The 12,831-nt window shown below is 38.2% G+C and overlaps 1 protein-coding gene across 17 annotated transcripts in view; it reads right to left on the bottom strand.

Moving 5' to 3' along the window:
• The window catches only part of MIGA1 (mitoguardin 1), a 99,892-nt gene that overhangs the window by 75,839 nt on the left and 11,222 nt on the right, over positions 1 to 12,831 (bottom strand). For all 17 annotated transcript variants that reach the window (NM_001270384.2, NM_198549.4, NM_001416120.1 and 14 more), the window contains 2 exons: positions 2,194 to 2,371; positions 296 to 432 (listed from right to left, as the gene is read on the bottom strand). In NM_001270384.2, the coding sequence (NP_001257313.1) occupies positions 296 to 432; positions 2,194 to 2,371 (315 nt within the window). The remainder of the gene's footprint in view (positions 1 to 295; positions 433 to 2,193; positions 2,372 to 12,831) is intronic.

Raw genomic sequence — 12,831 nt, 5'->3', positions numbered from 1 at the left:
TTTTAGCTCCCACAAATAAGTGAAAACAAGAACATCTAATTTTGAAGCAATACTTCCACATCAACACTATTTTCACAGGACCCCATGAGACCACATCACTTATTCAAAGAAACCTAGAACCAAATTGACTAATAGTCAGCAAAAAGGTATTTTACTTGCCTAAAGAAAGCACATTCAGACGATTTCTTAAGAGTATTTCCATACTAAGAACTATAAGTATATGACACTTAAACTAATAGATCACAGAAGACATATAAACAAAAATTTTAAAAATTAATATTTTTTCTGTACTTACAGAGGCCAAACTCTGTGCAGAACCTGAATATTTACTGAAAAGTCCTCCATTAGCATAGTTACAAACTTGAGATCCTTTGTCTTTGGTAGAACTTAAAGATAATGTCAAATTCTGTCTGCTACTGGAACAACTTGAACCTATCAAATAAACATACTAATATTAAAAATATCAATAACGCCAATGATAAATTTCAGGTAAAAATTTCAGAGTTTATAATATATTCACCCAGAAAGCTTCTAATTTTAAAACATGCATCACTCACTTGTGTAAATTATTACATGTACATCATTATTAAAATCTAAATCTTTATATAATCTTATATAATCTTTTTTCAACACTGCTAAAATCTGCTTCTGAAATGAAGAATAGAATATTCACCTAATAAATTAGGATGGTATTTGAATGGTCTATTGTAACCAGTATAAAAATACTGGTGACTATGTTAAATTTACAATTTTGTTAAACTGTAAATTTAACAAAATACAGGCATTTCCTTTTCTGAATTACATCTAAACCTTACCCAAATCTCATTGCATTGAAATTAGTTATACTTCTGCCTCTTCTACTCATCTATCCATTCTTCTAAGACTGACATTAGTTTCTTGGTTTTTTTTTTTCCTTTTTTTGAGAAAAGATCTCACTCTGTCACCCTGGCTGGAGTGCAGTGGTGCAATCATGTCTCACTGCAGCACTGACGTCCTGGGTCAGGTGATCCTCCCACTTCAGCCTCCCGAGTAGCTGGGACTAGCTAGCTGTGCCACCACACCAAAAAAAACAATTTTTTTATTGTTATTTTTGTAAAGATGTGGTCCCACTATGTTGTCCAGGCTGGTTTAAACTACTGGGCTCAAGCCATCCTCCTGCTTTGGCCTCCCAAAGTGCTGGAATTATAGTAACGAGTCACCATGCTGCACAAGTTTTTCTTAATGCAGCAGTTAAGATGTTCCTGGATTCAAATCCCGGCACTTATAAATTATATGACCTTGGGCAAGTCACTTAGCTTTTGCATATCTCAGTTTTCTTTATGTAGAATATAGAAACAATAACAAGACTATAATCCTAATTCACAGGATTGCTGTAAGGTTAAATAAAGCACTGAATATATGGCACTTACCTGAGACCTAATAAAATCTCAGCAAGTGACAGCAATCATTACTGTTGCAATGTTCACTGCACTCAGTACGAAATAGTCACTCATTAATTGTATGCTGGACAGATGACTCACAAAAGCATATCACACACTCACTAAATAATAAAAAACTAAGAAACTCAGCATGTTTAAGGAATTATTTTTATTCATACGATATCTTTACCAAAAATTAAAGATCCTTTAAAAGACAGCAACTTACTTCTTGAACTCTACATACTAAGGAAAATAGACAAGGATACACAAAATAAGAAAAACACAAGCATCCTAAAGGGAACAATGGGGAAATGATTAAATAAATTGGGGTACATTCATACAAATTAACACTAGTTATATATTAAAAATGATAGCACAGAGGGATATTTATTGACCTGGAAAGACATTCTTCCACACTGTCAAATATCTTAAAAGCAGGTTACAAAATGTCTGATTACAATTTTACTTAAAATACATAAATAATTTACTTGTATATAACATTTTATGTCTCAATATGACATTTAAATACAAATATAAGTGGACTGATATACATGAAAGTATTATCAGTAGTTATTTCTGGGTACCAGAATGTCAAGTAATTTTAATTTTTTGTTTGCTTATCTACATTTTCTAATCTTTCTAAAATAAATCTGTACTACTTTTGAGTTAAATAATATATTAGGAAGAAAATTCTGGAGACTAAAAGACCAAAATCACTGTATTCCAGTTATGATTTACACACTTTTGTACACTTACTTCAACTATTTCCACATACCTTTGTCTGATGCTGCTCTTTTAGTGTATTCAAGTATGAGGTGCTCTGGTTCCCATGGTAATATTTTTCCTTTCTTCTTTCCACGTTTTCTTTTAAAGTGATGAGCCAGAAAAATTACAGATATAGCACTCACTGCAGTTACCACAAACAACTTTTTAGCCACCGGAGAAAATTTGATCTGGAAAAGATTCAGTTAAAATTGAAAAAAATCTCTTTAATTTGTTCACTTAAAAGAAGGACCTAATAACTAAACTTACTCTTAATCTAACCTATTTCTAAATACTATCAAGAGAATATCATTTCACTCTTTCAATGACAAGCTAGCCCAATTTGATTTTTTAAAAAATATCTTAAATGTTGTAATTTATTACTCACTACTCTGAAGATCTCAGGTAAACAATATTACCCCAAAGTCAATAGGAGCAGAAAATAATTCAACCCCGTTAATATTTTTTGAGCAATTAAGGATTAATTCACGCAACTGAATCTTCTGTCTGAATCACAGCAAGATTTTTTACAGGGATGATTAAACTGAGCTTTAAAAAAAACTATCTGGAAATCTGAGGAAATAGAAGCTAAATCCATTTCTAAATACTTTCTAAATAAGCCATTTTATTCACAAATTATTTAACAAATATTTCTTCAGAATCTTAAAGTACCAGGACTGTGTTATAAATTAAAATCTTACTGTAATTCTATTCTATGAGCACATAATAAGTGCCTACAACCAATCAGGAAGCACTATGTATACAGAGGTCACAGATCTTGCATTTTGCGTATACTCTTCTATTTCCCTCAAGCAGTGTGCTAAGAGTGGAGACAGATATATTGGCAAATAATTACAGCATAATGTGATAAATACAGTTATACAAGTACTAAGTTATATAAGTACTAACATCAGAGCAAGAAGCGATTAACTTTCTCTTGGGAGACAAACACTATTAAATACCTAAAAGCAAAGGAACTCTAAAATAAAGCTAAAGGCTTGGAATGTTGAGAGCTGGAAAGAATGTCACTTTCAACCCTCCAACAACAAAATAAAGTATTCTGACTCCATCAGAATACGGAGATCAGAGGGCAACCAATTGCCCCCTAAACTAACGAGACAGGCATTTGCAGAGAGGTAAGACATTAGCATTGGCTTACACGGACAAGACATAGCATGACGTTAGCAAGAAGAGGTCAGCAAGCATCGTTTCAAATCTGGTGGAGAAAGAATACACTGTTGAGAGGCTGGAGAGAGGTGCTGCAAATGTAGGTGAAATCCACACCTTTCTTGCATATCTTATCATCAAGAATCACCAGGCACTCGTAGAAAATACTGAAAGAGTCCTACAAAAGTCTCCCTAATGGTACAGAGGGAGGGAAACAGCAGCTTCTGTGGAGGGCATGAACCAGCACCATAACCTTTCTCCTCTATCCCCATTAAAGAACAAAAGCCTTAAACTGTGGATGCATCTTTAACTTTAGAGAGAAATTTATGCCATTAAATGCTTATATTAAAAAAGGAAAGATATCAAATCAGTAATCTAAGCTTTCGACTTAAGATTCTAGAAAAAGAAGTACAAATTCAACCTAAAACAAGCAGGATATAGGAAGCATTATAAAGATTAAAGCAGAAATCAATAAGACCAACAGCTGGTTTTTTTTTTTGGAAGGAAAACTAATAAAACCTCTAGCCAGTCTTATTAAGAAAAAAAAGCAAGAATGACACAAATTACCAAAATCAGAAAAAAAAGAGGAGGAGTCATTACTGCAGACCTCACAAAGGTCTGTAAAAAGGATCCTATAAACAATTCTATGACCACAAAGGACAAAATCAAAACTCACTCGGAAAAAAAAACAGGTAACACAAGCAGTTAAATATCTATTAAAGAAATTGAATAGGTAGTTAAAAACCTTCCAACAAGGAAAACTGAAGGCCAAATTACACCAAGTAGTTAAAGAAGAAACAGTATCAATTTCACAATGAGGATACGTCCTAATCATGTTATCAATCTAGTCCAGATGCTGTTTGACTTATAATGGGGTTATAGCCAATAAACCCATCCTAAGTTTAAAAACATAAGTCAGAAATTGATTTAATAAACCCAAACTACCAAACATCATGGCTTAAACTAGCCTATCTTAAACATGCTCAGAACACTTATTAATACATTAGTCTACATTTGGGCAAAATCATGTAACACAAAGCCTTTTTATGAGAAAGTCTTAGATGTCTCAAGTAATTTATTGAATACCGTACATTATGTCAAATTTGCAATGGTTGTGCATCATCTTGAAGTCAAAAAATTGTTAAGTTGGGGACAGTTAATATCAAAGCCAGACAAAGACATCACAAAAAATAAAACTATAGGTTAATATCCCTCATTGATAGATGCAAAAAATCTTCCACAAAATATTAACAAATAAAATCCATCAATATATTAAAAAATATATAAATAACCAAGTGGTATACATCCTAGGAATGCAAATCTGGTTCAACATTTAAAAATCAATGTAACTTACCATAATATCAGCTAAAGAAAGCCATAATATTATCTCAACAGATGTGAAAAGAACACTTTAAAACATTCAACATCCATTTATGACTACTTAAAAACTCCCAGCAAATTAGGAATAGAAGGTGTAGTAGGTTGAATAGTGTCCCAGAATGATTCATGTCCACCTGGAACATCAGAATGTGATCATATTTGAAAATAGGGTCTTTGCTGATATAATTAAAGTAAGAATTCAGATGAGACCATACTGGATTAGGGTGTGCCCTCAATCCAATGAGAGTATCTTTGTAAGCCATAAATACACAAAGGGGAAGGCCATGTAAAGACACTGAAGCTATGCTGTGATATGGTTTGGCTACATCCCCACCCAAATCTCATCTTGAATTGTAGCGCCCATAATTCCCACGTGTTGTGAGTTGGCCCCCGTGGGAGATAATTGAATCATAGGGGCAGTTTCCTACTGTCCTCATGGTAGAGAATATGTCTCACAAGAGCTGATGCTTTTATAAGGGGAAACTCCTTTCGCTTGGCTCTCACTTCTCTCTTGTCTGCCGCCATGGAAGACGCACCTTTTGCCTTCTACCATAATTGTGAGGCCTCACCAGCCATGTGGAACTGTGAGTCCATTAAACCTCTTTTTCTTTATAAATTATCCAGTCTCAGGTATGTCTTTATCAGCAGAGTGAGAACTGACTAATCCATGCTGCTACAGCCAAGAATGTCTGGAGTCACCAGAAGCTGGAAAAGGCAAGGAAGGATTCTCCCCTAGAACCTTCAGAGGAAGTGTGGCTCTGCTACACTGTGATTTCAGCCTCCATAATTAAAAAATTAAATTTCTATTGTTGTAAGTCACCAAGTTTGTAGTAATTTGTTATGGTAACTCTGGGGAACTAACACAAAAGGGAAATTCCTCCATCTGATAAAGGGTATTTATTTTAAAAACCTGTAGCTAAGATCATGCTTAATGGTGAAAAACTAAATGCTTTCCCCATAAGATCATGAACAAGGCAAGGATGTCATTTCACCAATGTCGTATTAGAAGTACTAGCCAGTACAAAAAATTAAGAAACAGGAATAAAAGGAATACATATTAGAAAGGAAGAAGTAAAACTATTCACATATGATACAGCTGTCTATAAAGTTACAAAGAATCTACAAAAAAGCTCCTATAACTAGTAGGTAAGTTTCACAAGATAACAGAATACAAAGTCAATATACAATATCAACTGTATTTCTGTATAAAAGCAATAAGCAACCGGAATTTGAATTTCAAAAAGTAATACTATTTATAATAGCACCAAGAAAAAGAAAAGGAAAATACTAGAGCTAAATCTAATAAAATCTGTGCTAGGTAACAATGAAACACAAAAGATATCAAAGAAGATAAAAGGAGAGAGACATCATATTCATGGATTATAGGAATTTTTCTCTCCAATTTGATCTACATAAACAACATAATCCAAATAAAAAACCCAGAAAAATTTTTGTAGTTACTGATAAGCTTATTTTTAAAAAATTAAGAAAAGGCAAAAGAACTAGAGGAACCAAAACAATTTTAAAAAGAACAAAGTTGCAGAACTCAAAATAGCTGAATTCAAGACTTAACTGTAAAGCAACAGGCAATACAGTGTGGACGTATAGATCAATACAGTAGAATAGACAGCCTGCAAGAAACACACACAAACATATAGTCAATCTATTTTTGTCAAAGGTAGAAAGAAAATCCAAAGAAGAAATTTCTAGAAGAAAACACAGGAGAAAATATGTATGACCTCATAATCACCTAAAATCAGAAACAACCTGGATGCCCTTCAACAGGTGAACAGATAAACTGTAGTACATTCATACAATGGAATGTTACTCATCAACAAAAAAGGACAAACTATTCAGACAAACAACAATGTGGATGAATTTCAAATGCATTATGGTAAAAGGAAAAAGCCAATTTCAAAAGATTATACGTTGTTTAATTCCATTTATGTGACATTTGTGGGTAAAGATAAAACTACAGGGACAGAAAACATCAATGGCAGCTAGCGGTCAGAGGTGACCACAAAGGGGCAGCACACGGGAACTCTGGGGATGAAGAACTGTTCTGTTTGGTGCTGTGGTGATGGACACATGATTGCACAGCTGTAAAAACACACAGAACTGGGCACAACAAAGAACAAATTGTGCTCCATGTCAATTGAAAAAAAATCAACCAGGATATGGGATCACAGATGGATCCAAAGATAAATCACAGGCTGTGAAAAGTAAATCAAACTTTGTTCCAAATGAAGCACACTGAAAGGTGTGAGGAAGAAAGGCGCTGACCTAAGTGACAGTGTTTTGCCTGGATATTGTAAGACTACAGACAAAAAGAGTTAGACATAAATACTGTAACCTGTTGGTAAATTTGTTTCTCAAAGGAGTACTGGGGCCAACTGCAGTGGTACCTGCCTGTAGTCTCAGCTATTTGGAAAACTGAGGCAGGAGAATAAGTTGAGCCCAGGGGTTCGAGGTTGCAGTGAGCTACTATCGCACCACTGCACTCCAGCCTGTGTGACAAAGTGAGACTCCATCTCTTAAAAAAAAAAAAAAAATTAAGACCAGGCACGGTGGGCTCACGCCTGTAATCCCAGTACTTTGGGAGGCCAAGGCGGGTGGATCACGAGGTCAGGAGATCGAGACCATCCTGGCTAATATGGTGAAACCCCGTCTCTACTAAAAATACAAAAAAATTAGCCGGCATGGTGGCGGTCGCCTGTAGTCCCAGCTACTTGGGAGGCTGAGGCAGGAGAATGGCGTGAACCCAGGAGGCAGAGCTTGCAGTGAGCCGAGATCATGCCACTGTGCTCCAACCTGGGTGACAGAGAGAGACTCCATCTCAAAAAAAAAAAAAATTAAGTTGAATTTTAAAAAGAGGAGTATTGGGGTGCAAATTCTGAAATTTCTTTATGTGTACACTAGATATTATAATAAGTAAATATATTATGAGTAATACACTATAGTTAATGAGAGCCAGGTGTCTCACTGCTGAATAAACACGTCACAAATGATCCAACTAGGAATGCTAAAATGAAATATCTGTTGTTGGATTGAAGTCAGAAGTATCAATATGACCAGCACTTTGGGAGGCTGAGGCGGGTGGATAGCTTGAGGTCAGGAGTTCCAGACTGGCCTGGCCAACATGGTGAAACCCCGTCTCTACTAAAAATACAAAAAAAAATTAGCCAGGCATGGTGGCGCACACCTATAATCCCAGCTACTCAGGAGGCTGAGGCAGGAGAATCGCTTGAACCCAGGAGGCAGAGGTTGCAGTGAGCCGAGATCATGCCACTACACTCCAGCCTCAACGACAGAGTGAGAATCTCTCCAAAAAAAAAAAAAAAAGAAAGTAATATACCAGGCCCAGCATGGTGGCTCACACCTCTGGGAGGACAAGGTGGAGAGATCACTTGAGCCGGAGTTTGAGACCAGCCTGGGCAACATGGTGAAGCTCCATCTCTAACAAAAATACAAAAATTGGCAGGGTATGGCAGTGGGTGCCCACAGTCCCAGCTACTTGGAGGCTGAGGTAGGGGGATTGCTTGAGCCGAGCAGTAAGTCATGATTGTGCCACTGCACTCCTGCCTGGGCAACAGAGCAAGAAACTATCTCAAAAAAAAAAAGAAAAGAAAAAGAAAAATATTCCAAATAATAAATGTAGAAGTAATGAAGGAAATAGAAAATCACCAATAAACACTTCAGTAAGAACTGCTGGCTGGGTGCAGTGGCTCACACCTGTAAATCCCAGCACTTTGAGAGGCCGAGGCAGGTGGATCACCTGAGGTCAGCCGTTTAAGACCAGCCTGACCAGTATGGTGAAACCCCATCTTTACTAAAAATACAAAAATTAGCTGGGCATGGTGGCATGCGCCTGTAGTCCCAGCTACTCGGGTGGCTGAGACAGGAGAATTGCTTGAACCCGGGAGGTGGAGATTGCAGTGAGCCGAGATCACGCCACTGCACTCCGGCCTGGGCAACAGAGCAAGGGTGCATCTTAAAAAAAAAACAAAAAACTCCTGAAGGCAGCATCAAGAAATAAGTACTAAAGTAAGATATCTTACAGTGTCAAAGTCTCTACCTCCAAACTTCTTATTTACAAAGGAGAAAAAGTGGAAAAGTGTGGCAGACACATCCTTAACTAAATGATCAAGGGGTGTGTGTGTGTGCCTTTTTTCAAAAGACAGGGTCTCGCTCTGTTGCCCAGGCTAGCGTGCAGTGTGCAATCACAGCTCACCAGAGCCTTAAACTCCAGGGCTCAAGCGATCCTCCCACTTTAGCCTCCAGAGTAGCTGGGACTACAGACATGCATCACTGTGTTCAAGTAATCCTCCCACCTTGTCATGCCAAAGTGCTGGGATTATAGGAATGAGACACCATGCCTGACCAGTGATCAAAGCTACTATCACCAGTAACAAGGCACACAGACATCATCATGTATCCCCTGATATTGTGACATCTTGCCAAAAATGCATAACTTGAATCCAACCCTGAGAAAACATAAGACACACTCAACTGAGGGACATTCTGCAAAATACCTATCCTATATATTTCAAAAGCAGCAGGTCATATAAACCAAGGAAAACTGAAAGAACTGTCACAGATTGGAGAAGACTAAGGAAACCTGACAACTAAATGCAATGTGGGAACCTAGATAAGATCCTGAAGGATATAAGGTGGAAAAAAGTAATAAAACCTAAATAAAGTCTATAGTGTAGTTAAGAATATTACTTACAAAATTAAGATTACAATGTTAATCTTAGTTTTGATAGTTGTATTAGAGTTATAACAGACATTAATATTAAGATGTTAATACAAAGCATACACGAGAATTCTATGTACAATCTTTGCAACTCTTTGGTAAATAAAATTCTTTCAAAATAAAAGTTTAAGGCCGGGCGCGGTGGCTCATGGCTGTAATCCCAACACTTTGGGAGGCTGAGGCGGGCAGATCACTTGAGGTCAGGAGTTCGAGACCAGCCTGGCCAACATGGCGAAACCCCACCTCTACAAAAAATAATAAAAAATTAGCCAGGTGCGGTGGTGCTCACCTGTAATCCCAACCACTTGGGAGGCTGAAGCACGAGAATTGCTTGAACCCAGGAGGTAGAGGTTGCAGTGAGCTGAGATCACGCCACTGCACTCCAGCCTGGGCGACAGAGTGAGACCCTGTCTCAAAAAAAAAAAAAAAAAAAAAGATAAAATTTTAGTAAAGCAGCCAGGCACAGTGGTTCACGCCTGTAATCCCAGCACTTTGGGAGGCTGAGGTGGGCAGATCACTTGAAGTCAGGTAGACCAGCCTGGGCAACATGGTGAAACCCCATCTCTATTAAAAATACAAAAAAAAAAAAAAATTAGCTGGGCATGGTGGCGCATGCCTGTAGTCCCAGCTACTCAGGAGGCTGAGGCATGAGAATCACTTGAGCCTGGGAGGCAGAGGTTGCAGCGAGCCAAGATTGTGCCACTGCATTCCAGTCTGGATGATAGAGGGAATCCTTTCTCAAAACAAAACAAAACAAACAAGCAAACAAACAAACAAAAAAAACCTCTCAGGATTCAACAGTAAAAAAAGCAAATAGGCTGGGCACCATGGCTCATGCCTATAATCCCAGCACTTTGTGAGGCCAAAGCGGACAGACTGCTTGAGCTCAGGAGTTCCAGACCAGCCTGGGCAACATGGTGAGACCCCGTCTCTACAAAAAATACAAAAATTAGCCAGGCATGGTGGTGCATGCCTGCGTCACAGCTAATGAGGAGACTAAAGTGAGAGAATTGCTTGAGCCCAGAAGATTGAGGCTACAATGAGCCGATATCACACCACTGCACTCCAGCCCGGGCAACAGAGAGACCCTGTCTTTAAAAAACAAAAAACATACAAACAAAAAAAACAGGCCGGGTGCTGTGGCTCATGCCTGTAATCCCAGTACTTTGGGAGGCTGAGGCGGGCAGATCACCTAAGGTCAGGAGTTCAAGACCAGGCTGGCCAACGTGGTAAAACCCCGTCTCTACTAAAAATACAAAAAAATTAGCCGGGCATAGTGCTGCATGCCTGTAATCTCAGCTATTCAGGAGGCTGAGACAGGAGAATCACTTGAACCCGGGAGGCAGAGGTTGCAGTGAGCTGAGATCGCGCCACTGCACTCCAGCCTGGGCTACAAGGGTGAGACTCCATCTCAAAAAAAAAAAAAAAAAAAGCAAACAATCCAATTTAGAAAATGGGCAAAGGACATGAAGAGACATTTCATTTCATTGAAGATGATATACAGATGGCAAACACACACAAACCCAAGAAGATGTTCAACATCATTAGCCAATTGGGAAATGCAAATTAAGACCACAGTGAGATACCAGTACAAAACTATTAGTGTAACTGAGTATTTCAGCTTTGAAATGCATTTTAAAACTTTTTTTATCCTTTTTCTCTAGTCTTAAGATGTAACCTTGAAACAAACTGTAGAAACTTTGTGTCCTAAGTCTTAAAATATGGCCTTGAAATCTTCTTTGAACTCTGCTCCCCTCTCTTTCCCACCAGACACTCCCTTGCACCATGCACACTTACCTAACTGCATGCTTGTTAAGAAATTCCAGGGGCTACAACAACCCAGGCAAAAAGACCCAGCGGTGGAATGAATTCTCCTCTACAGGGAGATTACCTCAAAACTGATAATCTGTAACTCAGCAGCAAATAAAATGGCACCAGCCTGTACTCCAGGCAGACAATAATTCGAGATAGTCCTTGGAACAACACATAGGAACCTGCATCCTGTGTTACTCTTATGTTTCCCATACCAAGTCTCCTCTTTTTAAACCCCTTCCCTCAGCCTAACACTTGAAATGGTCTTTTGGAGACATAAGCCTAGCCTATCCCAACTGCTAGCATTTCAATAAAGTTGCTTTCCTTTCACCACTCTTTCTTTCTCATGTTTTGGTCCTCAAGCAGTGAGCAGCCAGACTTTTGTTCAGTTATATTAGAACATCTAAAATAATTATTTTGAAGTGACAATACCAAATGCTGGTGAGAATATGGGAAAACTAGACTTCTCATACTTTGATGGTAGTAATGTAAAATGATACAGCCAATAATTAATTTTGTAATTTCTTTAAAAACTAAGTATTGGGCCAGGCGCAGTGGCTCATGCCTGTAATCCCACCACTTTGGGAGGCTGAGGCAGGTAGATCACTTGAGGTCAGGAGTTCAAGACCAGCCTGGCCAAGATGGTGAAACCCTGTCTCTACTAAAAATACAAAAATTAGCCAGGCATGGTGGTGTGCGCCTGTAATCCCACCAAATCAGGAGGCTGAGGCACAAGAACCACTTGAACCCAGGAGACTGAGGTTGCAATGAGCCAAGATCACACCACTGCACTCCAGTCTGGGTGACAGAGCAAGACTCTGTTTAAAAAAAAAAAAAAAAAAAAAAACTTAAATATCTACTTCTGAGCATTTATCCCAGAAAAATAAAAACATGTCCACACAAACACCTACAAGCAAATGTTTAAAGCAGGTTTATTTTGTAATATTAAATGACCCTCAGTAAATGAATGGTTAACAAATTGTGGTACATCCATACATACCATGGAGTACAAAATAAAAAGGAACAAACTGGTAATACATTCAACAGCTTTGCTGGAACTCAAGGGCATTATGCTGAGTGAAAAAAGGCCAATTTCAAAAGGTAACAGCCTGTGTGACTCCATTTATATAGCAGTTTTTTGTTTTTTTTTTTTTTTTTTTTTTAAGAGACAGGGTCTTGCTCTGTTGCCAGGCTGGAGTGCAATAATGCAATCAGAGCTTAATACATCCTTGAAATTCTGGGCTCAAGTGATCCTCTCTTCTCAGCCTCCTCAGCTAGAACTATAGGCACCTACCACCATGCCCAGCTTATATTTATTTTTATTTTTGTAGTGACAAGGTCTCACTATATTGCCTAGGCTGGTCTCAAACTCTTGGTCTCAAGCAATCCTCCTGCCAGCCAAAGTGCTGGGATTACAGGAATAAACCACTGTTCTCAGCCTTATATAGCAGTCTTGAAATGACAAAACTATAGATGGAAAACAGATTAGGGTTCACCAGGGATTAGGAATGGTGCGAGGGGCCAGGCACAGTGGCT

This window comes from Homo sapiens, chromosome 1 (genome assembly GCF_000001405.40).
Source record: "Homo sapiens chromosome 1, GRCh38.p14 Primary Assembly".
NCBI classification, from domain to species: Eukaryota; Metazoa; Chordata; class Mammalia; order Primates; family Hominidae; genus Homo; species Homo sapiens.
Note: the sequence above shows the minus strand (reverse complement) of the source record. Positions and strands in the feature narration are given on the sequence as shown.